Consider the following 26,875-nt stretch of genomic DNA (forward strand, 5'->3'; position numbering starts at 1 on the left):
GGTGGAACACGAGGTCAGGAGTTCAAGACCAGCCTGGCCAAGATAGTGAAACCCCGTCTCTACTAAAAATACACAAAAAAATTTAGCCAGGTTTGGCGGAGGGTGCCTGTAATCCCAGCTACTCGGGAGGCTGAGGCAGAGAATTGCTTGAACCAAGGAGGCAGAGGTTGCAGTGAGCCGAGATCGTGCCACTGCACTCCAGCCTTGGTGACAGAGCAAGACTCCATCTCAGAAAAAAAAACAAAACAAAAAACAAAAAACAAAAAAAAAAAACAAAAAAAAACCACCTGTCGGTACAATGCACAGTGCCTGGGTGATGAAATAATCTGTACACCAAGACCCCGTGACACGCGGTTTACCCGTGTAACAGACCTGCACGTGTATACCTAGAACCTCAAATAGAAGTTGGAAGGAAAAAAAAAGAAACAACAAACAAAAATAATCTGAGACTCCCTGAAGGATGAGAACGGGCTGAGCGGGGCCACAGGAGCCCGCACCGGGTCCGCGGAAGGAACTCACACTCCTGCTTCAAGGTGTGGAAGGCGACCCAAGAGGCGGTACACAGACCGCGAGGGAGCGTGCTGTGAGAAGCTCAGGGAGACAGGGCCTGGGAGGCCAGGTGAGGTGTGGGCACAGCCAGGGAGAAACACTGGTGACCCGAGACGCACGGGAACTCGCAGTCACTTGACCAAGTAGCGGCCACGTTTGCGCCACACTTCCATAAACGTGACCAGTAAGGAAGCGACAAGCCTGAAGGGTCCTGACCATTTATTACTCAGGGTACAGCATGTCCTTATCCCTCTGCCTTGTCCCCCACATCTCAGGGGGCAAACAGAGCAGGTTTGTGTCAGCCGAGGAAACCCTTGATCTTCTAAGGGGACTGCTAGCCATCTCGCCCCCATCTTTGCCACAGAAAAGACGGTATCCTTTTGCCCTGGAAGATAAACCAACGTCTCGGGGAGAGGAGGGGCCGCAGGTTTATTTCCCAGAAATGTGTGCAAATCTGCAGACACAGCAGGGAGGTTTTGCTCTCCTGCATGCCTCCAGCGGGCTCTGGCTTGCAAGAATGTCTCATGCAGGCATTCTTCCAGTGCCCTGTGCTTTGAAAAATACGCAGAAAAGCCAGAATTATGGAGGGCAGCCTCCTGGGCTTGTGGGTGTTGGGCAGGTGGAGGGAGACGTATGGAATCTTCTGGTCTCCAGGCAGCTGTGCAGTGCACCGGTCGGTGGGATCAGTCAAGGAGGTTCAGAGCAGGATGGAGGAACCGCTCCAGGGATTTCCAGCAGAGAGGGGTTTGTTGCAGGGAAGGAGATGGATCCTGGGACCCTGGAGTTCGCACCCCTGCTCTGTCTGCTGCAGTGCTCCGGGGGTACACAGCCCAGCCCAGGGTCGCCCCGGTCATGTGCCCCCAGCACCAGCCCCTGGGCCTTTTATATGTTTCTGGGATGCTGCCTGTCTTCCAGTGCCATCAGGAAAGGCTCGGGGAGCTGGGCCTCACTGGACGCCATACCCCTCCCGCTGGAACAGTGCGTAGGTGTTCCGCCCTCCAGGGCAGACTGACCGCAGGATGAACGCCCCCGCCCCACAGGTGCCCAGCGCTTCACAGCTCACAGAGCCCTTCGACCTCCCTGGCCTGGGATGACCCTCTCAACACCCCCAGGAGGAGACACCGGTGCTGCCTTCAGCAGGGAAACCTGGGCTTGGATAGGTGCAGCGGCTCCTCCAAGGTGGCCAAGCTGCCTGGCCCTCGCTCATGAATTCTGAGTAGCCCCTCCTGTCACTGCCACCCACTGCTCTCCCCGGAGGCCTGTGTGTCCTTTGTTCTCTCCTGAGGATGGCTGTGGCCTCCTCCTGTTCCTGACAGGGCCCGGTGCCCACTGGCTCATGTCAGAGTTCAGGCCTGAGGGGAGGGGTGTTTGTGCTAACAGGAGGCAGAGGGCAGCCTGCCAGTCTGGCCCTGTGGCCACCTGAGCTGTCCCCTGGGACCCGTGGCTTCATGACTCTGACCCAGTGGATGCTGTCTTCATAGTCTGAGTGGGAGCCAGGTTTGACCTTGGAGTGCCTGGGGCATAGAGTCCCTGTCCTCTGGAGGAAGAGATGGTCATCCCTTTTCATGCTGACTGGCCCCAGGGCAGGACCTGCTCTTTTGGACCCTAAAAGGGACAAGGCCTGGTGGCAGAGCAGAGCTGGGGCTCAGGAGAGGGAGACGGGTGGGAGGAAGGGAGGAAGAGGAAGAGAAGGAGGAAAGGGGGAGATGAGGAAGGGGGAGGAAGAGGAGGAGGAGGAGAAGGAAGAGGAGGAGGAGGAGATGACTCAGGCACCCACGGCATTACTGTGGCAGGCTGGCCCTCGGTTTCCCCAGCAGTAAATGAAGAGATGGGGTCAAGGGGCCCAGGCCCCCTTCCAGATCTGAGACCTGCGCATCAGGCTGTCTGTATTCAGAGGAAGCCGGGGATGGCAGCTCCCAGCCGTGGGCTCGGCCTTCATTCACTGTACAGGCTCATCCATTCACCCAGTGAACCCTCCCGAGTCCCTTCATGAGGGCGGCCTCGCAGGGACTTTGGTCTCGGCTCTGCCCTGTCCTGGCCTTGGGACCCTGGGTGAGCTGAGGCAACCCAGTTTCCTGGTCTGTGACTCCAGGCTCTGTCCTCGCCCCATCGCCCCCCATCGTGGCACAGGTTCGAGGGTGTTGGCTTGCCTGGCCTCCTGAGGGCCTTCTGGGGTTAAAGTCTTCTATCCTGAGGCTGAGACCAGGGCTGGGGAGGAGGTTCAGCCCCTGTGGACTTTATCCTCCCTCTCCACGGCTGAGTCTTGATTTACAGCTGGAAGGGCAGACGGAGGCATCTTGGTGTATACACAGCCCTGCTGGGCCACATCCCGGGTCTCCTCCCTCTGCGATGCCATAGCAGGGGCGCCTTCCGAAAGCCCTCTGGATTGAGGCAGCAGGATCTATGGTGGAACCTGCCCCGGCGTCGCCAACGCCCCTAGGACCCCAGCACACTGACTGGGGAGCATCCCTGTGTCGTTTCTGCCCGGAGAGGAGCAGAGGCCAGGCTGCTGCTCTGGGAGGTGAGTGTCATGCCTGGGAACACAGCGGGGACCCCAGGGAGGGAGAGCAGGTGTTTGCTCCCTGGGCTCTGCCTGGTGGTCCTGACAGCAGTCCTGACTGTTGCGAAGGCTGTTTTTTGGTGGCTTCCTTAGGGTCCTCGCTGTGCTCTCGGTCCCAGCACTGTCTGCTCTCCTTCCTGGTTATTTGAATGACCCGGCTCCTGTTGCTGTATCCCGGGTCCTGACCTCCCCTGAGATGGACTCTGTTCAGGCTAGACTGCCTCAAGGGACCCGCTTCAGTCTATTTGTGGCAGAAAAGGTTAGCTGGCTCCTGGGAAATGTCAGGGGATAAGTCAAAGCTGGCCAGCGGCAAGGCCCAGTGACGCCCTGTCATTTTATGACTCCCTTTTCTTAATCAGTCGAGGAGAAAAACAAGCAATGAAGGATTTTCCATGGCAACCACCAGCAGGGCAGTGTTCTCTCCCTACCTGAGCTTGTTTTAAGAAGAGGGGTCTGGCCAGAGGCTGCTGACCCTGGCCCCAGAGGGCAGGGGTCGAGTGTCCTGGAGTGTGACTCCCAGGCACCTGGGCTTGGGCTGGGCCCCTGGAGCAGGCGCAGCTAATCTGGCCAATCTACTCCTTCACACTCATGGAGCAAATGGGGAAACAACCCAGAGAGGGGCAGCCCAAGGAAGCAAATTTGTAGAGCCTGACACTCTGAGAGAGCTCTCAGAAGGATACTAGTCTTCTAAACCAGAAACTTATTCATATAATAATAATAATGTTTATAATAATAACATTATTAATTCCTTCACCATCCACCCACTTACTCACCCTCTTACCCATCTGTCCATTCAACTCATCCACCCCCACATCCAGCCAGCTTCCATCCTATCATACATTCATCCACCTACCCGTCCACCCTTTCATCCTTCCTTTCTTTCATCACCCACCCATCCTCTCACTCATTCATTCATCCATCCACCCATCCATCCATCTACCCATTCATCCACCCATTCATTTATTCACTCTCCCATCCACCCATCCATTCACCCTTTCTTTCTTTCATCATCCATCTATCCACCCATCCATCCATTCATCCACATATTCGTCCACCCATTCATTATTCACTTATCTATCCATCCTTCCAACCATCCATCCATTCATCCACCTATTCTATTCACCCACCCATCCTTTCATGCTTTCTTTCTTTCATCATCCATCCATCCATCCATCCATCCATCCATCCATCCATCCGTCCATCCATCCATCCACCTATTCCATTCACCCACCTATCCATTCATTCACTCACTCATCCATCCATCCACCCATCCGTCCTCCCTTTCTTTCATCACCCACCCATCCATTCACTCACCCATCATCCATCCACCCAGCTAGCCAGCTTCCATGTCTATATCCAACTACTCACTCATCCATTCACCCATCAACCTAACTAAACTTGTTTTCTCCCATGTAACACAATACTTATCCACCCATCCATCCGTCAACCTACCCAACCACCCCATAACACGCCCACATCCTTCCCTTTGCCCATCTGTACACATACTTATCTACCTCTCCTATACCCATATACCCATGACATCCACTCACCCATTCATGCATGATCCTCCTACACATTCACTCACTTACCCATTGACTGCTTCACCTACTTATCCACTACTCCCCATTCACCCATACCCTCATAAAACTTCTATCCATCCATTCTATCCACCTACTCAAACAACCACCTATCAACCCATCTACCCATCAGACTGTGGTCCACCCACCTATCCATCCACCCATCTACCCATCTACCCAAAGACCCATCATCCATCCTCTATCCACCCATCTATCCATCCATCCATCCATCCATCCATCCATCCATCCATCCATCCAAACACCACACATCACTCGTATGACTTTAGAAGCTTTGTCCACAGATTCCAACTCAGCTTTGAGATTTGGATCATCCAAATTTGCTTCCTGGGCTGCCCCTCTGGTCTGTTTCCCCATCTGCTCCACGAGTGTGAAGGAGTAGATCAGCCAGATTAGCTGCGCCTGCTTCAGGACTCCAGCCAAGTTTGGGTGTCTGGGAGCCACACTCCAGGTCTCACCAGGAAGACTATGCCAATCATGGAGAAGTCTGATAAATGCAAAACCCATTTGAACCCCCTGGGTGGGGTTTATAGATGTGCATGAAAGGAACAGGATCAAGTTCTATATGGGGTCGAGGGCTCAAAACCAAACTCTAAGATCTGGAGTCCCTGTAACAATACATAAATAGGTTTCTGCAACTCCCGTCTGTGTGGTAGATGAAAATACCATCAGTACACTGACTGATAATGCTAGTATTTTCTAACCTCCAATTACCTAGATAATGCTGCTCAAATCTCTTAGTTGTTTCCTCAGTGAAAAAAAAAAATGTTTAAACCCAAGGGAATATTTAGAATTAGGTACAGAAATGTTTTATGGTATCAACTTCCAGTATTCATAGTTTTGAGTGAAGGAATCTGGGCGTGTTTGGTATTATAAGCATTTGTGATGTTTAAGAGATTTGGGGTTATTAGAAGGGACAGTTTGGCCTTTTAATTAACATTTGAAATATACACTGAATTACTTGATTTAGACTTATGACTATCAGTTGAAATCATAAAGTTTATATAAAATGTTGGAACATTTAAGAGAATCTAAGTTTCATCATATTAGGAAGTTATGTTTTTAAATTTAAAAGAACTAGTTAATTTGGGAATATTTGTCAGGCAAGATCTAATATATTAAGTTTGTTGATGTAATTAAGTTTTTGAAGGTGTTTTATTAAGTAGTAGGAACTACTGCTAATGAAATAACTTTTAGAAAGAGTTTTGAGATTTCTTAAACTTATAATGATAAGATTTGTAGATTCGGCTCAATAGTTTAAGGGAGAAAAACATACGTTTCTGATTTTGTATCATCAGTACATACAAATTTTAATTTTTTAAAACCCAAAGTAATTTCTGAATAATCTATCATATGTGCAAAAAAAGCCTTTGAGGACATAAAATAAATATCACATTAGCACCATGCCGACTTATTCTCCCATCCATCCATCCAACCACTCACTTATTTACCCTTTACTCTCCCTTCTCTCTATCCTCCTATCCACCTGTCCTTTAACACTCCCACCTACCCACCCATTTATTCATCCATCCATCCATCCATCCATCCATCCATCCATCCATTTCCATCCTCCATCCATCCAACCATCCGTCCGTCCGTTCATCCATCCGTCCATCCATCCATCCATCCATCCATCACCCACCCACCTTTCCATTCATCATTCATCCACCCATTTCCATCCTCCAATCATCCATCCATCCATCCATCCATCCATCCATCCATTTCCATCCTCCATCCATCCATCCATCTGTCCGTCCATCCATCCATCCATCCATCCATCACCCCCCCACCCACCTATCCATTCATCATTCATCCACCCATTTCCATCCTCCAATCATCTATCCATCCATCCATTTATCTACTTGTCCATTCACCCATTCACCTATCTACCTAGGAAATATTTATTAAAGGACCTAGTAGGCAGCAGACACTAGAAAAAAAGTACCTACACCTAAAGGGGAGCTGCTTCTGGACCCACAGACTTTTCTGACTTCTCAGTGTTGGGAGAGACTAGCTCTGTCCCTCTGCTCTGTCATTTTTCCTTGACTTTGCCATCTCGCCCCCTACAGTGATCTGGTGATCATGAGCACAGTGGTTAGCATGTGGGCTATGGTACCAATGGCCTGGGTTGAAATCCCACCTCTACTATTTGCTCGCTGGATGACATTGGTCCACGGAGACAAAGGAGCACCGACCTCATAGGCTCCTGGTGAGGGCCACGGGTCAGTGCGTGTGGGCGTGTGTGGGAGCAGAGCCTGGACTGTGGCCTGCCCCTGCCAACACTGCCCATGCTGAGCTACAGCCAGGCATCCTGCTAGATGCTGGCTCATCCCGACATGTGTGTGCATTGAGGCGGGGTAGCCTCTGGGGGTTCTGGACACAGACCAAAGTCCTACTGCGGCTGTGAAGAGAGCTAAGTGGGGCTGAATGTGTTGCTCTGAGAAATGAAGAGAAGGGGGTGGCTTTCCATTTTGAACAGCCTCTGCCCCACCAAAGGGAATCCAGTCTCTCTGGGGGCTTTCCTCTAAGCTCTCCCTGCACTGCCCTTAGGGCCTGACAGAGCCAGGTCTGGGCTGCAGGGACTGACCAGGAATAATGAGCTGGCCTTGGAAGGCACAGTAGACAGCCCATTCCCATAGCTCCTCCCAGGGAGCACAGGGTGCAGAGAGGCCTGGGGAGAGGCTGTTTGTGCCCCCAGCGTGGGTCCCTCAGGTGCGGCCCCAGCCCTGGCTCCAGATGGGGCTCGAGAATCAGCCATCTTCCCTGCGTTCTGCGGGGCTGCCCTGGTCCTGCGGCCCCATGGCCCCTGTGGTCATGTTGAATGCTCTCAGCTCCAGGTTCACCTGAGACCCTCTGCCTGCCTGTCCCGAAGGCTGCTACCCTGTGGCGTGGGGAGCTCCTACTGTCCCCATCCACCGCCATCTGCCAGGCCCATGGTCCCTCTGGTGCCAGGAGCCTGCTGGTCACTCTGCCTGTCCTCTGGGCAGCCTGGTGGGGATGGTCCCCTGGATCCTCAGAGCCTGCCCCTGCCCCACCCAGCTGCCTCCTCCAGGCTCTCACAGCGGGCATGGCTGGTCCTGTATTATGTTCTAGAACAAGGCCGGGCACAGGCAGGGGGCATGGTGCAGGCACCAGGCAAAGCCTGTTTCCTGCCGTGGGGCTTGGGTAGGTGCAGAGCCTGCAAGTCTGATTCTTCTGTAAAGGGAGGGGACCAATATGTCCTCAAAGGGGGCTGGAAGGAGGGGCGGGCGGAGCTGGAGTCTGAGTCAGTGGGGACAGGGGCACACTGAAGGGTGGTCAAAGCAGACTTTCTCCCATTTCTGTGACCGGGGCTGTGCCATGCCTTGGAGGAGAAGAGGTGCCTGCCTGGGCTCTTTCCTGGGCTCCCGTAAGAGGAGGTGCGATGAGGGGACTGGTCAGAGATGGTGGAACCCTTCCGGTGCAGGGAGGTGTCTGCCAGGCACAGCTGCAGGGCCTCTGTGGCCGTCACAGGTGCAGCCCCATGCATGACTCAGTCAAATTAGATACCTTCAGGGAGGGCCCTGGCCTCCGTGCTTCTGGTCTCCTGGCAGTCTGGTCCCAGAACTGGGCTCACCCCTGGTCCCTCTGCACTTTTGCACCTGCACTCTCTCTGTACAGGGCAAGACAGCCCCTCCCAGACCAATGGGCAGAGCAGGGCATCCTTGTAAACAATATGATTTTATTGTCATGAAGTGAATGGCACACACGAATGGTAATGTGAGCCCCTGGAGCGACACGCTATTGCCACCATCCCAGAAACTTCCTGGGTTCCTTCCCTCTCCCCTTGGGGACCACTCACCTGACTTTTGGGGTAATCATTTTCTGCCTTTTAGTTACAATTTTCCCACCTACGTAGGCACCCCTAAACAGATGCTTAGTTTTTGTCTGTTTTCGAATGCTACCTGATGGGATCACATCCTGGGAATGCTTCCGTGACTCATTTCTATTGCTCAGACGACTCTTCTTTGCAGATGTGTGTAGCTGTCGCTGTTCATTTTCCTGGCTGTGTAGTATTCCATGGTATGCCTGCACCACTAAAGAAATGCTGCTGTGACCACTGTAAACATTGGAACCATCTTTTCCAAGCAGGTATTTACTGAAAATAGCCAGAGCTACTTTGTCAGCAGTTTGGACAGCTTCAACTTTACTAGATACTGCTGAATGATTTTCTAAAGTGCATACCCAGCAGCAACCTATAAAAGGTACTGTTGCTCCACATCCTTGTCAACACTTGGTTTTGTCTGAATTTAACATTTTTAAACTTTTTTTCCTTATTAGAAATGGGGTCTTGCTATGTCACCCAGGTTGGCCTCGAACTCCTGGGCTCAAGCAATTCTCCCAGCTTCCTGAGATTTTACTATGTTGACGGTCTAGTGAATGTGAAGTAGCACTAGCTGTGGTTTTAGTTTGCTATGGTTTTAATTTGCATTTCCTTGGTAGGGAATGAGGTTCTGCATCTTTGCCTATGTGTATTTGCCAACTGGATTTTCTTTTATGTGAAGCACCTGTTCAAGTCTTTTGTCCATTACATATTTTTTGTTTTTTGGTGACTAGTTACAAGAATTCTTTATATATTTCCTAAGTGACTCTTTGCCAATTATCCGTCCTGCAGACATCTTCTCCCAGTGTGTCTTATCTTTCCATTTCAATGCGGTGTCTGATGAACAGAAGTAGTACATTTTAATGAAGTCCAATTAATTCCTCTTTTGCTTTATGGCTTGTGTCCTTTGTGTCTTGCTTAAGGAATGTCTCTTTACTCTGAAGTCAGATTTTCTTCTTTATGCCTTTCCAAAAGGTCTGTGGGTTCATCTTTCATATTTAATCCACCTGGTATTGATTTTTGATTTAAAATTATTTTTTCTCAGCATTGACCTTTGTGGACAGTACAGAGCAGGAGTGTAAGTAATATTTTTCCCTCTATGGATAATCAGTTCTCCAAACTGATTTTAAATGGGACTGTCTTGTCCCCATCGATCTGCCTGTCTCCTCCAGCATCCAGGCCTGCTCTGTTTCCGTCTGGTATGCGTTACCTGTGTGCCGATACCTAATTGTCTGCTTTGCTAAGGCTTTAAAGGAAATCTTAGGGAACAGAAAGACCAACCTTCCCGCTTTTTATTCTTCATTAAGAATATTTTGGCTATTCCTGGCTCTTTTTAAAAAGTTAAAAAAGATCTTTATTGGGCACCAGAATCAGAATAGGTTTACAGTGGTGCCTGCTCCAATTCCATGTAAATTTTAGAATCATCTTGTTAAAGTCTACAAACACACACACACACACACCCATGTGCACACACATGCACATACATGCACCCATGCACACACCCATGCACACACATATGCACATGCGTGCACACTCACACACATGCACGCACCACTTGGGATTGTGATTGGCATTGTAGTGGCTCTACACATCATTTTGGGGAAAAATTGGTATCTCTGTAATATTATTGAGTTTTCCAATCCATATACATGTTTATTTTTTGAAAACAAGTATGTTTTATTTCTCCATTTATTTAGATCTTCATTCATGACATGCAGTAAAACTTCTTATTTTTTCTCTGTGTATCTTGCACGTATTTTGTTAGGTTTATTCCTAGATACTTCTTGCCAGCTGTACTACTGTAATGGTCTCTGGGATGGTTAATTGTATGCCAACTTGGCTGGGCCACAGTGCCCAAGTACTTGGTCAGGATGTTGCCGTGAGGCTGCTTTTCGGATAAGATACACACTGAAATCAGCTGACCTTCAGTTAGGCAGACGGCGCGCCATAATGTGGGTGGGCCTCGTCCAATCAGGTGAAGACCTGACTAGAACACAGACCGACCTCCCCAAGGGAAGAGGGAATTCTGCCAGCAAGTGGCCTTTGGACTCAAACTCCAACTGCTCCCTGAGTTTCCAGACTGTCAGCCTGCCCTGCAGACTTTGGACCTGCTACACCTCCACAATTATGTGGGCCAATTCCTTAAAAAAATCGGTGGCTCACGCCTGTAATCCCAGCACTTTGGGAGGCCAAGGCAGGTGGATTATGAGGTCAGGAGTTTGAGACCAGCCTGGCCAACATGGTGAAACCCCGTCTCTATTAAAAATACAAAAATTAGCTGGGTGTGGTGGCGGGCACCTGTAATCCCAGCTACTTGGGAGGCTGAGGCAGGAGAATCCCTTGAAACTGGGAGGCAGAGGTTGCAGTGAGCCGAGATCGTACCACTGCACTCCAGCCTGGGTGAAAGAGCGAAACTCTGTCTCAAAAAAAAAAAAAATCAATAATCTCTCTGTGTACACAAACACGTGCACACACACACATGCACGATGCGTACACACACAGGCACATGCATGCATGCACGTACACACACATCTTGTTGGTTCTGTTTCTCTGGAGAATCCTAACTAATACAGTATCTTTTTTTGTTTTTGTTTTTTTGAGACAGGGTCTCACTGTGTCACCCAGGCTGGAGTGCAGTGGCGTGATCTTGGCTCACTGCCAAGCTCTGCCTCCTGGGTTCAAGTGATTCCTGTGCCTCAGCCTTCCGAGTAGCTAGGACTACAGGCGTGTGCCACCATGTCTGGTTAATTTTGTATTTTTAGTAGAGATGGGGTTTCACTTTGTTGGCCAGGCTGGTCTTGAACCCTTGACCTCAAGTGATTTGCCTGCCTTGGCCTTCCAAAGTGCTGGGATTACAGGTATGAGCCACCATGCCCAGCCCTAATACAGCATCATTTAAAAAGTTATAGTTTCTATTTTTTTTTGTTGCTCATATATGGCAATACAACAGATGTTTGCATTTTGGTTTGTATCTAGCAAACCTGCCAAACTCATTAACCCAAGTGCTTTACTTGCAGCTCCTTCTGAATTGTTCTTGACAGAATCAGACAGACCTGTGGTCAGTCACCCTCTTTTCAGACTTTACTCTGTATTTTCCTCTCTCTCCTTCCGGGTGTCAACATGGATGTGTGCCAGACCCTTTCTGCCGGCTTCCCCTCCTCCCATTTTCTCCTCCGCACTTTCTGTCTGACTTCCTGTGCTGCGTGGAGAACGGCTTCCGCTTCCCCCAGGCTCATCCATCCTCTCCTCTGCTGTGTCTGCTCTGCAGTCAAATGCATTCATTGCCTTTGAATTTCAGTTATGTATTTTCATTCTAGGAGAGCTTCTCAGGGTGGGCGTAGTTATTTTTTGAATCTTTTTGGTCCTTTAATTTCTCGTCCTCTGTGTGTGATAAGGCCATTATCTGATTATCTGAATTCCTTTTTTCTTGAGTCGGAGTCTCACTCTGTCACCCAGGCTGGAGTGCAATGGGGCGATCTCGGCTCACTGCAACCTCTGCCTCCCAGGTTCAAGCAATTCTCCTGCCCCAGCCTCCCAAGTAGCTGGGACTACAGGTGCATGCCACCATGCATGGCTGATTTTTGTATTTTTAGTAGAGACTGGGTTTCACCATATTGGTCAGGCTTGTCTCGAATTCCTGATCTCAGGTGATCTGCCAGCCTCAGCCTCCCAAACTGCTGGGGGTCCTGTGGTACAGAAGGGATCTGTGTTTACTTCTGCCGTGTTCCTGAAGGCCCTGTCAGTCCCTACTGAACTCTAACCCAAGCTCTTGGAATAAAGCTTCTTTGTCAGTTTATCAATGTTCACAATTTACCACAAATTACCCAGGATTTATTTTATTTGATTTTGTTGTGTGGGAGGCATGAGTAAAGGTCATGGCCTGCCATAGTGTAGGAAAATGGAAGCCGTGGGCCTTGTTTAAAACAAGCTAAGAGGCGTCGAATGTAAGGAGTTTCCCGTTCCTTAGGTTGTGGGTGAACCTGTGCTCAGAACAGCCCAGATGGCTCTGCCAGGGTGGGAGCCACAGATGAGAGTCCCAGATGAGACTTCCAGCTTTCCTGCTGTGGTGTATGCCCAGGTGCTTCTGATAGGACAGTGCCAACAGCAACAACAAGGAACGCAGCTGCAGCAGCGGGGGCCCTGGGCAGGCGGCCTGCCCTCACTTAGGCCACCATGTGCCTGTCGAAGTGCGTAGGAGCCTGGAGCTGCCATCACTGCTGCTTTATAACTGTGGGCACCGAGGTTAAACAGTTTGCCCCTGGTCCCGGGCTGGGATTTGGCTGGGCTGGGCCGGCTCAGCCCCTGCAGGGTTCTCACCTCTGCACCTACCTGGACCTTCCTCTCATTCTCAGCTTCTGGTGAAAATGGAGCTTCTGCCCCGAGGCACCGGGCCTGGCAGTCCTTCCCTGAACACCCCAGCATTGAAACAAGAGGCAGAAAGGTCTCAGCAGTGGGCAGTAAAGATGTCACATCCACCTGGCCAGGCCACTGTGGTCTTTGGAGATGGCCGTGGACTCGCTCTCATGGAGCTGGGAGCTGCTGGGTGGGCCCCACCTCATGGCTGCATGTAGCAGAAGCAGGCAGAGAATTTGAGACGTGGCAGAGGGCTGAATCCAAGGAAGTTCCTCAGAAAGTGCAGGGCCCCTCGGAAACAAAGGGCCCTCAGAAACAAGGGGCCCTTGGATCCTCCCGGCTGGGCAGAAAGCCTGGCTCAGCCCCCCATGCTCTTGGAGCAGGCAACTTCTGAGGCTTCCATACTCCACTCCCAGGCCTGGCACTCCTGTCCTCCCTGGAGGGCATAGTGTCAGGAGGGTGCCCAGGCATCACTGGCTGCCTGCCTGCCTCCTCACAAGAGGAGGAGGCCTGGGCCCAAGGTGGCCATGACCGGCCAGCCCTGGACTCCTATGTGCAGCACTTGCTCCGCCACCCTTCCCTGTCACAGGGGCAAAGAGGCACAGGCCAGGCCAGAAGCGTGGAGTGTGAGGGGGTCATGGCTTTAGAGCTGAGAGACACTGGGGTGGTGGATTAATGTCGGCAGGGCTGGAAACAGAATCAGAAAGCAGGCCCAGGAGTCACCTCATGTGGAACATGTAGATTTCCAGGTGCGCCTGCACTCCCAGATGAGACTTCCTGGTGCGCCTGCACTCCCAGGTGAGACTTCCTGGTGCACCTGCACTTCCAGATGAGACTTCCTGGTGCACATGTACTCCCAGGTGAGACTTCCAGGTGCACCTACACTCCCAGATGCAGACTTCCTGGTGCACCTGTACTTCCAGATGAGACTTTCTGGTGCACCTGCACTTCCACATGAGACTTCCGGGTGCACCTGCACTCCCAGATGCAGACTTCCTGGTGCACCTGCACTTCCTGGTGCAGACTTCTTGGTTCATCTGCAACTTCCTGGTGAGAATCCCTTGGGCATCTGCACTTCCTGATGCACCTGCACTTCTAGGTAAGATGTTCTGCTGCATCTGCATTTACGGGTGAACTTCCTGATGCACCCATACTTCCTGGTGAGAATCCCTTGAGCACCTGCACTTCTAGGTGGAACTTCCTGGTGCACCTGCGCCTCCAGGCACAGACTCTCAGGTGAATTTCCAGGGAGAAGAGACCTAGGCTGCATTCCACAGGTGTCTGGCTTTTTTTGACCTTTGACCTTGAGTGCTGTCTTGGGAGGTAGGCTTTTCCAGGGTCAGTGAGGATCGAATAGGGTGGATAGACATGGCGGTGGCAGGTGCAGAGGAGCGACATGCAGACATTTGACATGGAGGGGGAGGACAAAGCCACCTGACCAAAGGTATCCCAGTCTCAACACAGCCAGGAAGCCTAGAATATGTGCAGGTGAACATATCCCCAGCAGCACTGTGGAGGGTCTCCTCTCCCCAACTCCAACTGCCCCACTGCCCCTGTTTGGAGGTGAGCACCTGGCTGAAGCTGCCCCCTCTCCTGGCCTGGCTCCGGCTCCTAAGCTGTCCTGTGGTTCTGCCTTCCCACTGGACTTGTCCCCAGGGAGGAGAGCCCTGGCTCAGTGACAGGAAGGTCTGGCTGCCAGATGGCCCATCCCTCAGGTCACTTAATACAAGGCGTCTGGCTGGCTGGCACCTGGGTCTCTGGGGTGTGTGTTAGTGCAGTTCAGCGAACCTCTCTCCCTGAGGCAGATCCAGGGTGATGTGTGGTGGGGTTTCTCAGTGAGCCAGGCTAGGAGACCCTCGCTGGGGAGGGCGCCAAGCAGTGCCACCTGGGGTTGGGGCGTCAGCCAAGCATCAGCCCCTAAGTCCATGGCGTGACAGCTAGAGACATCCCCCATGTGTGAATGTGTTGTTTTGTTTTCTTAGTTATTTTAGAGAAAACGTTCCCTGAACATGCCACATGCAGAGGATGCTGGGTATCAGGCTACCTTTGCTGGACAGCTCCAGGTAACTGCATTTGCTCTGCCAATGTTGGCTTTTTAAAAATAGAAAACACATATAGACAAATCCATCACACACACATGCACAGACACACACACACACACACACAGACAAATCCATCACACACACATGCACAGACACACACACACAGAGTCAACGACATAGGCTCACAAGTAGAGCTCTTCGTCTGTTTATACTTAATGCAATTACTGATACATCTAAGTTTGGAGCTGCTGTTTTCTTTTACGTATACTGTTTGTTTGCAGATTCTGTGTATAAATTCTTTCCTTTCTTGCCGCCTTTTAGATGATTTCCCCCAGCTTACCTTGAGGACTTTCGAGCAAACAGACACGTTGAAAGAATAGACAAGGACCACTTGCATGCCCCTCAGTTAGATTCACCAACTGTCAATATTTTGCACTGTATGTATACACGTACATGTCTGTGTATACACATATACACATACAGTCACACATCGCCCGATGGCAGGGATGGTTCTGAGGAAGGCGCTGTTAGGCGATTTCGTCGCTGTGCGAGCATCATAGTGTGAACTTACTCAAACCTAGATGGCACAGACTCATCGCCTCCCACACGCCTGGGCTGTATGGCAGGACCTCCTGCTACCGGGCTACAAACCCAGGCAGGGTGGTACTGTACTGAATGGTGCAGGTGATTGTAACACAATGGTAAGTATTTGTGCATGTAAACATACCTAAACATAGAAACAGTGTAGTAAAAATATGGTATAAAAGATCAAATACAGTACACCTGTACAAGGTCTGCTCTGTTCTAATCTTATGGGGCCACCACTGTATATGCCGTCTATTCTTGACAGAAGTGCTTTATGTGGCACATGACTGTACATGGAAATACACACACACTCACACACATCCACACACAAGCATATGCATACACACATATATACATGTATATACACGTGCATATAACATATGTAGATATCTGCCAATTGCTATCCAACGTGAATTCCATAAATTTACACTCCTACCAGCAGCATTTGGGTATCTGAGGTGTCACACATCCTTGCCAGCACTGGATATTATCCCGGCTTGGAGATTTTGCCAGCCTGGTGGGTGTGAAGTGGATCTTGTTGTGGTTTTAATTTCCATTTCTCTAATTATGCAGAGGCTGAGTGCCAGGCTTCCTCTCCTGGGAAGAGCCTGCCGGCTTGCGGGCTGTCAGCGCTCACTGTGGGTGCGGGTGGCGTGCCTGCCTGCACGGCCCTTGCCTCTCTTAGTCTACAGGGTCTCCACTCCTGAGTTCCCGGAAACAAGATACAGATTTCAGAATGGCACCTGAACATTGTTTACTGATTTCCGGCTGGAAGTGAGGGTCCGAGGGATTCTTCTATGGAATTGTATGACTCAGCATCTTTCTGATTGCAAGCAGCAGCATCGCAGCCTAAATGAATCTATTGGCTTCTTCAACAGACCAATCCGGTGGACGTGGTGGCTTCGGGTGAGGGATGCTCCAGGGGCTCTCCATGATGTCCCCAAGGTCCTTTAACCTCTGGGCACTGCTTCTGCAGGATTGGCTTTGCTTAGGGTTGGTTCCCCTTCATTCTTGAGCTGGTTGTGGGCAACTCCTGCCCCCTGTGGGGGGACTGGACTGCCTTAGATCACATGTGTGTCCCTGACTCTCTGTGGTCAGGGGATAGAATATTCAGATTGGAGGGGAGCCAGCTTCTCCTAAACCACGTGGATCTCCAAACGGAAGTCAGAGCAGATGGGAAGGGGGAGCAGACGTTGAGCTCAATCAATAAACACCCACCTTGGGAGCTGCAGCCTGGAGGGCTTGGTGACTGCCACGCTGGCTGCTCAGAGCTCCTCGCTTACTTTTGGGCATATGCCTGTGAACCAGATGGTGGCACCTCCTGAAAATCGGGTCTGTGGATAATGGGAGGATTTTTTAAATTATGAAAATGTTCATTATGGAAGAATAAATGAAGAATAGCATATGAAAACCTGTATCTCTCCCACTTAGGTTCAACAATTATTAGCATATTGCCATGTATGTTTCTCTCTTTCCTTCCTCTAAAGTTTTGCTGAGCATTTCACAATGAGTTTGAGGCACTGTGACACTTTGCTCCCAATCCTTTCACTTGCATGTGTTGAAAACAAGGACATTTTCTACAGAACCACAATACCTTGATCACATGTAAGGAAATTAGGAATCAGTTCTCAAATACTATCTAATATCCTGTCCAGGTTAAAAGTGCCCAGTGCTCCCTACATCTCTCATAGCTGTGACTTTGAACCAAGACTTAACCAAGTTTCACGCACTGCCTCACCTGTCTCTAAAACTAGAAAAGTTCCTGTTCCTTCCAGATTGAAAGTTTTAGGTTAAAAATATAGTTTCTCGACATTATTTTCTTGACTTTTCCTCTTGAAGGGCTATGTCTTGAAGAGCGCCCACAGTTTGAGTTCTTCTGTTTCTTCATGACAGGCTCAGCTTGTTCCTCTGTCCCCCTGTCTTTTCTGTATATTGAAATTTAGGTATAAATCCTTCATAGGGATTCACTTTATGCTCCATAAGTGAAGCTATGTTCTTTGTACTGCTACGCTTTATGCTGCTGTGCTTCAGGACCATGTGACAGGTTATTACATTTGCTTTTTTGTCTCATTTCCCATCTTTTCCTCCATCTTCTGATCATAATTGAGCATTTTATTATCCCATTATATCTCCTCTATTGACTTATTGATGCCTCTTTAAAAAACCTTTTAGAGGTATTCTTCTGGTTCACTATATATATATATATATGTATATATATATGTGTATATATATATATGTGTATATATATATATATATATATATATATATATATATATACATACACACAATTTTTTTTTTGAGATGGAGTCTCGCTCTGTCACTCAGGCTGGAGTGCAGTGGCGCGATCTCGGTTCACTGCAAGCTCCACCTCCCAGGTTCATGCCATTCTCCTGCCTCAGCCTCCCAAGTAGCTGGGACTACAGGTGCCCCCCACCATTCCTGGCTAATTTTTTGTGTTTTTAGTAGAGACGAGGTTTCACCATGTTACCCAAGATGGTCTCGATCTCCTGACCTTGTGATCCACCTGCCTCGGCCTCCCAAAATGCTGGGATTACAGGCGTGAATCACCGTGCCCGGCCCACAATTTATATTTTTAAACAATCTGAGCATACCTTAAAATAATATTGTACTTCTTCAAGTGCAGTGTAAGGACCAGTATACATGGAATTCCTCCCTGCTCTTCCTGTGTCGTTTTTATTACACACTTCACTTTGACATATGTCACAAACATACAATAAATTATTATAATCTTCCCTTTAAACAATGATGTTTTAGAGAAATTAAATTTAAAAATGATTTTCTTTTGTCTTCAGTCAATTTCCAGTATCTTCATTTCTTTTTCTAGATTCAAGTTTCTGTCTATATAATATTCCTTCCACTTGAAGGACTTTAATATTTTTTGTGTAGAGTGGGTTTTCTGGTAATGAATTCTTTCAGGTTTTTTTTTTTTTGGAGGTCTTCATTTTTCATTCAGTTCTTAAAAAAAAAAAGAAATCTCTCCTTTGTCTTTTTGCTTGCATGGTTTCTGATGAGAAGTCTGTGGAAATTCTTATCTATGTTTCTCTGCAGATAATGTATCTTTTTCCCCATCCGGTTTCAAGAAGATTGTCTTTGTCTTTCCTTTGTGGTGGTTTGAAGATGTATCCAGGTGTGGATTTTCCTGGTGTTTACCCTTCTTGATGTTCTCTGGGCTTCCTGAATCTGTGATCTGGTGTCTGTCACTCATATTGGAGAATTTTTAGCCGTTAGGTCTTCAAATACTTCTTCCAGCCTCTTCTCTGTGTCTTCTCCTTCTGGAACTGCACTACATGTATGTTAGGCCATCCAATGTTGTTCCAGGCTCTTCCCACATGTGCCTGCCCTCTTCCGGGGTGGTGCCATGGTTAGCATGTGTGTCTGACCCTCTCCTAAGGTAGAGTTTTTTCTTTTTTCTGTTTTCCTCTCCCAGCTTCCATGGACTCCTACCAGTGACAGAGGCTCGGATTTTTGTGTTGTTGTTGTTTTTCTTTGCAGACTTTGTTCCATTGCGCAGAGAGTGGGGATGGGTCTGGGCAGAATTTTGGGGGTAAATGTGTTTCCTTCCACCACTACCCCAGGTAAAGTCTCCCTAGGATTTTCCTTGTGTCTTCCCTGGGAGCGGTTGGTGGGATCCTTGGAAGAAAAGCTTCAAGAGGGTGAGAACCTCCCATATGTCTGTGGCACCAGGGGTGTCACACTCCCATGCTTATCCATGCTTGGCCTTTAGTAAATTCTTACACATTTCTACACAATATAGATCTATATCTAACAGCCTGTAATAGACTCAGTGGCATCTGCCCCAGGTGAGAACATGCTCAGGTCCTGTTTCTCCCCGGAAGCCTGTTTTTCTCCAGATTTTGGCTTGCTTGTTTTCCCTGTGACTCCATTTCTCTGAAGGCCTGATGAAAAAATCGTTAACTTGCAGTTTCTCAGCTTTTTTTCTTATTGTAAGGGCTGAACCAAGGCTCTTTCTGCTGTCTTCAAGCTGAAACTGGAAATCTGCTTTCGCTCTTGAAAGGTATTTTTGTGAGATGTAGGATTCTAGGCTGACGATTTTTTCAGTCTGCAAGGATGTCATCCACTGTCTCCTGCCGGCATTGTTTCTAATGAGAAGCTGGAGGTATTTCTTTTCTTCCCCTCCTACATGTCATGTTTAATTTTTCTCTAGCTGCTTTTCAGAGTGTATTTTTATTTTTGGTTTTCAGTATTTGTTATAAAGTACCTTGGTGTGTTTGTGTATGTGTATGGTGTGTGTGTGTCTCTCTGTGTGTGGGGTGTGTGCATGCACATATTTGTGTGTGGGGTGTGTGTGGTGTGTGTGTCTGTGTGTGGTGTGTGTCTCTGTGTGTGTGTCTCTGTGTGTGTGTATGTGTGTGTGTGTTCATGTGTTTGTCTATGTGTGGTGTGTGTTTGTGTGTGTGTTTGTGTGTGTGTCTATGTGTGTGGTGTGCATGTGTCTGTCTGTGTGTGTGGTGTGTGTGTTTCTGTGTATGTGTCTCTGTATGTTTGTGTGTGTGTCTGTGTGTTTGTGTGTGTGTCTGTGTGTGTGCATGCATGCACGTTATGCTTAGGACTTGTTATTTCTTCTGTAGGTTGATGTTTTTCATGATTTTTTTTTTTTTGAGATGGAGTCTCGCTCTGTCACCCAGGCTGGAGTGCAGTGGCATGATCTTGGTTCACTGCAACCTCTGCTTCCTGGGTTCAAACAATTCTCCTGCTTCAGCCTCCTAAGTAGCTGGGACTACAGGCACACGTCACCACACTCAGCTAATTTTTGTATTTTTAGTAGAGACGGGGTTTCACCAGTTTGGCCAGGCTGGTCTCGAACTCCTGACCTCAGGAGATCCACCCACCTCGGCTTCCCAAAGTGCTGGGATGACAGGCGTGAGCCCCTGTGCCTGGCACTTTTCATGATATTTTGAAAAATTTTGTCCATTATTTCTTCAAATCCGTTTTTTATCCCAGCTGCAGTCTTTTTCTCCTCTCCTTCTGGGGCTCCAGGAATGGATTCAATGGATATTGACACTTATGTTAGACGACTTGACATTGTCTCACTGAATCTCTCTATTTTCTCAATGCTTTCTCTCTCTTTTTCCTTCACATTGAATAACTTCTGTTGCTCTGTCTTTCAGTTCACTGATTCTTTCTTCTGCTGTCTCCAATCTGTTTGTGAAGCTCGCCCAGGGTTGTTTTTGTTCCAGAGAGTGTAGTTTTCAGTGTCAGAATTTCCATTTTGTTTCAGGGCGTTTCATTTCTGCCGAGAGTCTCCATCTGTTTGCTTATCGTCACCGTCTGTTCTTCTAAGCTCTTGAACATATTTGTAATAGGCATTTCTAAGTGCTCGTCTGTGAACTCCAGTGTCTCTGGGTGTATTTCTATTTACCGTTAGTCCTTTTCCCTGGCTGTGTGTCAGATTTTCCCAAATCTCCATGTGTAGGGTTTTTTTAAAATTTTTATTTATTTATTTATTTATTTATTTATTTATTTATTTAACATACGCTGGACATTAAAGATGCTCCACTGTTGCACCTGGACTTGCAGCAGTGCATCCTCGCTGGTGGGCATTTTCCTGGGTCAGATGGTCCTGCCGAGCTGCTTTTCAGCTTTGGTAGGGTGGGTCTGGTGCAGCCTTTACTCTAGGGCCAGGAAGCCAACTCCCAATGCCTGGCATTCTTGCTGGGCACCCAGGCCTCCAGCTCTGGCTGGTTGGGATGTGAATGACTCTCAGCAGCGTGTCGCCTCCGGGCTGTCCTTAGCTCCAGTCCCTTCATTCAGAGATGTCCTCCGTCAGGCCTCATCTTGCCTTTCACGTGGGCAGCTCAGTATCCAGAAGCCCTTAGAAGACCTTCCATGCGTTTCTGAATCTCTTCTCTGTGCAGCTCCCTCCTCTCTGATCCTCTGCCCTGCAAATCCCAGCTGCCTCAGTCTCCCCAGACTGACCGAGCTCAGTGAGACCCCTGTGCTCTGCCTAGGCTCCACCTGCCCATCCTGGGTCCAGAAAGTGCCTCCAGGCAGAAGTTAGGGAGAGCACAGGGCACAGTGTCACAGCCTGTGGCCCAGTGTCTGCAAACAGCCGCTTTGTCGATTTTGCCCAGCTTGATAGTCGTGTATGGTAGGAATGCTTGTCCTGTGCATGTTCATTTGTCATGGCAGAAGCAGAAGGTCAAGTGCATGTTTTCCGCTGCACAGAAGGGGGCATTCTGCACTCCTTGTTCCTCTCTGTTGTCCCTGAAGGCCGCGTCCTGGAGAGCAGGCGCGGGAGAGCGCGTAGAGAGGACTGCTTCCTCCTCACGGCTGCCTGGTGCCCATCGCATGGCCGCACCCTGGTTCATCTGACCAGGCCCTTGCTGAAGGACAGCTGGGATGTCTCCGTTGTTTTGATACTGCTTATAATGCCATAACAAACGCCCTTGGGCGTATGTGATTTCCTACATTGGAGGCGGCTGCTTCAGGCGATACACCTGTACTTTGCTCATAGGTGGCTGGATCTTCCCTGCGCACTGCGGCACTTTGTGCCCCGCAGGAATGGTACTGTCGTGTATGCTCCAAGCGGTGGGAGACAGGGCCCACTTCTCCGCACAGCTGCCTGCAGAGCACGTGGTCAAGCCCCAGGGCAGCGCCCACTGATGGGGAAGAAGCGGTGTCTCCAGGCAGCTCCCAGGCACCCTTGTTAAGTGAGGTCCCTCTGATGGCTTCTGTTTGAGGGTGGTCTGCATGTCTGCGTGTCTCTCCGACCTGCCTGTTGACATCTTTTATGTCCCTTTTGTTCTGATCAGGTTTTGGTCTTTTCCCCTCCCTGTTTTTATCAGAGCTCTTTCTGCGTTAGGGAGATCAGCCCTTTGACCGTGACATAAATTGTGGATTTTTCCCCTCTGTGTTGATCATGTGTGTTTTAACTTTGTTTATATTTTGCTTTTTGGCATGGTCTCAATTTTTTGTATGTAATTATAACATTCACACATCAATATCATCAGTATCTTCCATGATTGCTTCTGACTTTGGAGCCACAGTTATTCCCGCTCTTAGATTATAAAAAATTCACACGCTGCAAATTCCTTGGGATCATTTGTAGTTTCATTTCTTCTTTTCTTTCTTTCTTTCTTTCTTTTTTTTTAAAAATAGAGACGAGGACTCCCTAAGTTGCCTAGGCAGGTCTTGGACTCCTGGGCTCAAGCGATCCTCCCGCCTCAGCCTCACGAAGTGCTGGGAGGCGTGAGCCACTGCGCCAGGCCCTGTGGTTTCATTTTTTACATTTCAATCTCTGATCCATTTGGAGTTGACTCTGGGATATGCCATAAAGTCAGATCCCATTCTATCTTTTCTAAATGTTTATCCAGTTGTTCTTATAATGCTGAGTTTCACTTGGGCTCAGCACAGGCTTGCTTGTAGCCCCTACTGTGTGTTCTGGAAAAAGGCTTCCTGAAAGGAGCCCCTTCCTCGAGGGACTCAGGCAAGACTCACGATGCCCCCTGGTTTACCAGGGGCAAGGCCAGCCCCAGACCCCCCAGCCCCTCTGCCTGGTGAATGATCCATGGGACTGCTCCTCCCACTGAGGTGATGGCCCCACCGCCCCCAGGAGCTCTGCCTCTGAGGACCCTCCAGCCCCTCGAAGACTGTGCAGGAAGGACAAAGCCCCTGCCTCAGTGCCATCCGGACAAGAGGAAGGTGGCAGGTCCAGGAGGAGCCTGTGGGGTGGAGGAGGCTGGCGGGGGGGTCACCTTGCGAGGGGCAGGCCGCAGACACCTCAAGAGCCAAGCTGAGGGTCAAGCTGTGGACGCTGGAGCAGAAGGGAGGGGCGGGAAGGCTCCGCTAGACTCGGGGGCCCGGTGCAGGTGTCCAACAGGGTCGGGAAGGCCTGGGCTATGGGGTGAGGCTGGGGAAGCAGAGTCCAGGGTGGGGTCAGGGAAGCTGAGTCAGGCAGGGGAGGGGCACCCGGGCCTGGCAGGACAGGATACGGGCTGAGGGGGCAGGCCCCAGGGATCCGGTCTCAGGACGAGCTTTTCCAAAGGTGTCTTCCATGTGCAGCTGGCCCTACACCCAAGGTCACTTTCTATCCTGCAGCCGGAAGGTGTCCAATCCATCGGAAGGCAGGGTCAGTTCTGACGGATCCAACTGGCTGGTCCCTCGCGGCTCAGTTCAGCTGCTCTCAAAACTTCCTGACTGACCCCTGGGTTAGTTGACACAGGCCGGGGGACCTGAGGCTCCTGCAACAGAGCTGGTGTGCGGGGCAGGTGGAGGTGGGGCTGATGGCTGCCCCTCTGCTTTAGGACAGAGTGCAAGGTGGCCAGGAAAACATGCCACAGACCAGGGGCTTTCACCACGGAAATGAATCGTCTCCCAGTTCTGGAGGTCAGAAATCCGAGGTCAAGGTGTCAGCAGGGATGGTTCCCTCCTGGGTCTGCAAGGGAGAGCGTTTCCCAGGTGCAGCTCCTGGGATGACTGGCTGCCCTTCCCAGCTACGTGTGCTGGACGCAGCCTGTGAGGCAGCAGCACTGCTCCCATGGCCTCAGCCCCAGAGCTGGGGTTCAGAAAGGCCGAGTCTTCCAGAAGGTTGCACAGCGTTTTGGGGTCCAAGCAGGTTTCCATCACGAGGCCAGCACCTGAAACGCAGAGCTCCATGATTGGGTGCTGTGCCAAGATGTGTTTGTCAAACCTGACACATCTTTTTAAGAGGTTACAGAACTCTGCTCCCAATGGCTCTGATGCTCTCACGGAGACGCTGGGACCCAAACTGAGAGAGTAGGAGAGAGAGGTTGCCAAGGAAACCTGCCCAGAGATGCAGCTGGCAACATTAGTGCCCATCACTTTCACAAGCCTGTGGTGTGGAAGTCAGGCAACCACAGGGCACATGCACCTGCTGGGGGTGTGCACACATGAACATATATGTATGCGTGTGAGCAGGTGTACACGTCTGTGTGTGAGCAGGTGTGGACATGTATATGTGTGTGTGAGCAGGTATGCACGTGCCTGTGTGTGTGAGCAGGTATGCATATATGTGAGCAAATGTGCACATGAGTATGTGTGCATGGCAACAGGTGTGCACATGTGTATGCATGTGGGCAGGTTGCACTTGTGTCTGAGTGTGAGCAAGTGTGCACATGTGTATGTGTGCATGTGAACAGATGTGCACGTGTGTGAGAGCAGGTGTGCATATGTGTGTGAGAGCAGGTGTGCATGTGTCTGTGTGTGAGCAGTTGTGCGTGTGTGTGAGCAGTTGTGCACATGTGTATGTATGTGTGGGCAGGTGTGCACATGTGTCTGTGTGTGAGCAGGTGTGCACATGTCTGTGTGCATGTGAGCAGATGTGCATGAGTGTGGGGGCAGGCGTGCACATGTGTATGTGTGTAAGCAGATGCGCATGTGTGTTTGTGTGAGCAGGTGTGCACGTGTGTGGGGGCAGGTGTACACATGTGTACGTATGTGAAGGCAGGTGTGCACGTGTGTCTGAGTGTGAGCAGGTGTGCATGTGAATGTGGGCAGGTGTGCATATGTGTGGGCAGGTGTGCACATGTGCATGTATGTGTGGGCAGGTGTGCACATGTGTATGTGAAGGCAGGTGTGCACGTGTGTCTGAGTGTAAGCAGGTGTACATGTGTGTGGGCAGGTGTGCACATGTGTATGTATGTGTGGGCAGGTGTGCACATATGTATGTATGTGAAGGCAGGTGTGGACGTGTGTCAGTGTGAGCAGGTGTGCACGTCTGTGTGCATGTGAGTAGGTGTGCACATGTTTAGGCAGGTGTGCACATGTGTATGTGTGTAAGCAGGTGTGCATATCTGTGAGCAGGTGTACACATGTGTATGTATGTGAAGGCAGGTGTTCACGTGTGTCTGAGTGTGAGCAGTTGTGCATGTGTGTGGGCAGGTGTGCCTGTGTCTGTGTGAGCAGGTGTGCACATATGTGTGTATGTGAAGGCAGGTGTGGACGTGTGTTTGAGTGTGAGCAGGTGTGCACGTCTGTGTGCATGTGAGTAGGTGTGCACGTTTAGGCAGGTGTGCACATGTGTATGTGTGTAAGCAGGTGTGCATATGTCTGTGAGCAGGTGTGCATGTGTGTGGGGGCAGGTGTGCACATGTGTATGTGTGTGCAGGTGTGCACATGTGTATGTGTGTGGGCAGGTGTGCACATGTGTATGTATGCATGTGGGCAGGTGTGCACATATTTGTGTGGGCAGGTGTGCACATGTGTATGTGTGTAAGCAGGTGTGCACATGTGTCTGTGTGAGCAGGTGTGCACTGTGTGTGGGCAGGTGTGCACATTTGTCTGTGTGTGTGGGTCAGGTGTGCACATGTGTCTGTGTGTGTGGGCCAGGTGTGCATATGTGTCTGTATGCATCTGTGTGTGGGGGGGGCATTGCTCTCCCAGATACAGTGTTAGTGGGAGTCCCAGGCAGTCCCAGGCCCACAGAGCTTCCTCCCCTCTCCACAGGCTGGGGAGGCAGGAAGATTAATTTGAGCTATGCGGCTGGAAGGGCCCAGCCTGAGGACAGGGACCTTTTCAGAGGCGGGAGGCCGCCGGCGGTGGTGACTCCAAGCCCCGCCCCTTCCCTAGTTTGTGTCCACTCAGCGTCCTGCCCTGGTCACCAGCACCAGCAAGGCTTCCCAGACACGGCAGTTGACATTCCTTACTTTTTTTTAGCCCAGGGCTAGGTATGCTGCAGGTGGTCCATAAATGCTGCCCTGGATGCTTTTTGCAGGAGAAATCACAGGAAGGGGAGGGACACCCCACCCAGCCTCATGCCCGCAGGTGAAGGATCGGGCAGAACAAGAACAGGAGGTGGGCCTGGAGCTAAGGGGGTCCTTTTTATGTCAAGCGTCCCTTTATATGTCTCTGAGTGCCATGACACACTGCTTGGCAATGAATGGCTCGTTTAAATTCGCATTTGCCAGCCTAGTTCCCCTCCTGCACCTCTGCCCATGCATTGCTTTGCACTTGCTTTTTGTGGGGGCTTTGCTCCCTGGGCCAGGCAGGGAGTGAGGGTGGGGACCGGGCTGTCTCTCACAGCCTCCCAGGGCTGAGGCTATGGGACTTCTACGTTTTGTTTTTGAGATGGAGTCTCCCTCTGTCGCCCAGGCTGGAGTGCAGTGGTGCGATCTCAGCTCACTGCAAACTGTGCCTCCCGGGTTCAAGCAATTCTCATACCTCAGCTTCTTGAGTAGCTGGGATTACAGGCATGCACCACCATGCCCAGCTAATTTTTGTATTTTTGGTAGAGACGGAGTTTCACAATGTTGGCCAGGCTGGTCTCAAACTCCTGACCTCAAGTGATTTGCCTGCCTCGGCCTCCCATAGTGCTGGGATTCCAGGCGTGAGCCACCGCTTCTACTTTCTA

The 26,875-nt window shown here is 50.1% G+C and overlaps 1 long non-coding RNA gene across 1 annotated transcript, besides 7 other annotated features; it reads left to right on the top strand.

Moving 5' to 3' along the window:
• The first annotated feature begins 2,815 nt into the window (after positions 1–2,815).
• On the top strand, positions 2,816–16,932 carry LINC00955 (long intergenic non-protein coding RNA 955). Its single transcript, NR_040045.1, has 3 exons — positions 2,816–3,070; positions 13,822–13,997; positions 14,881–16,932. It is a non-coding gene; the product is annotated as a long intergenic non-protein coding RNA 955 (long non-coding RNA).
• Positions 12,905–13,563: an enhancer, noted in NCBI's record as "H3K27ac-H3K4me1 hESC enhancer chr4:3588685-3589343 (GRCh37/hg19 assembly coordinates)". NCBI's record gives its function as "activates a minimal SCP1, AML or CMV promoter by ChIP-STARR-seq in naive H9 embryonic stem cells {active_cell/tissue: H9 hESC(naive)}" and the evidence as "EXISTENCE:reporter gene assay evidence [ECO:0000049][PMID:30033119]".
• Positions 14,084–14,584: an enhancer, noted in NCBI's record as "H3K4me1 hESC enhancer chr4:3589864-3590364 (GRCh37/hg19 assembly coordinates)". NCBI's record gives its function as "activates a minimal SCP1, AML or CMV promoter by ChIP-STARR-seq in naive H9 embryonic stem cells {active_cell/tissue: H9 hESC(naive)}" and the evidence as "EXISTENCE:reporter gene assay evidence [ECO:0000049][PMID:30033119]".
• Positions 21,561–22,062: an enhancer, noted in NCBI's record as "H3K4me1 hESC enhancer chr4:3597341-3597842 (GRCh37/hg19 assembly coordinates)". NCBI's record gives its function as "activates a minimal SCP1, AML or CMV promoter by ChIP-STARR-seq in naive H9 embryonic stem cells {active_cell/tissue: H9 hESC(naive)}" and the evidence as "EXISTENCE:reporter gene assay evidence [ECO:0000049][PMID:30033119]".
• Positions 23,112–23,612: an enhancer, noted in NCBI's record as "H3K4me1 hESC enhancer chr4:3598892-3599392 (GRCh37/hg19 assembly coordinates)". NCBI's record gives its function as "activates a minimal SCP1, AML or CMV promoter by ChIP-STARR-seq in naive H9 embryonic stem cells {active_cell/tissue: H9 hESC(naive)}" and the evidence as "EXISTENCE:reporter gene assay evidence [ECO:0000049][PMID:30033119]".
• Positions 23,613–24,113: an enhancer, noted in NCBI's record as "H3K4me1 hESC enhancer chr4:3599393-3599893 (GRCh37/hg19 assembly coordinates)". NCBI's record gives its function as "activates a minimal SCP1, AML or CMV promoter by ChIP-STARR-seq in primed H9 embryonic stem cells {active_cell/tissue: H9 hESC(primed)}" and the evidence as "EXISTENCE:reporter gene assay evidence [ECO:0000049][PMID:30033119]".
• Positions 25,389–25,890: an enhancer, noted in NCBI's record as "H3K4me1 hESC enhancer chr4:3601169-3601670 (GRCh37/hg19 assembly coordinates)". NCBI's record gives its function as "activates a minimal SCP1, AML or CMV promoter by ChIP-STARR-seq in primed H9 embryonic stem cells {active_cell/tissue: H9 hESC(primed)}" and the evidence as "EXISTENCE:reporter gene assay evidence [ECO:0000049][PMID:30033119]".
• Positions 25,891–26,390: an enhancer, noted in NCBI's record as "H3K4me1 hESC enhancer chr4:3601671-3602170 (GRCh37/hg19 assembly coordinates)". NCBI's record gives its function as "activates a minimal SCP1, AML or CMV promoter by ChIP-STARR-seq in primed H9 embryonic stem cells {active_cell/tissue: H9 hESC(primed)}" and the evidence as "EXISTENCE:reporter gene assay evidence [ECO:0000049][PMID:30033119]".

The sequence above is a fragment of the Homo sapiens genome, chromosome 4 (genome assembly GCF_000001405.40).
Source record: "Homo sapiens chromosome 4, GRCh38.p14 Primary Assembly".
NCBI classification, from domain to species: domain Eukaryota; kingdom Metazoa; phylum Chordata; class Mammalia; order Primates; family Hominidae; genus Homo; species Homo sapiens.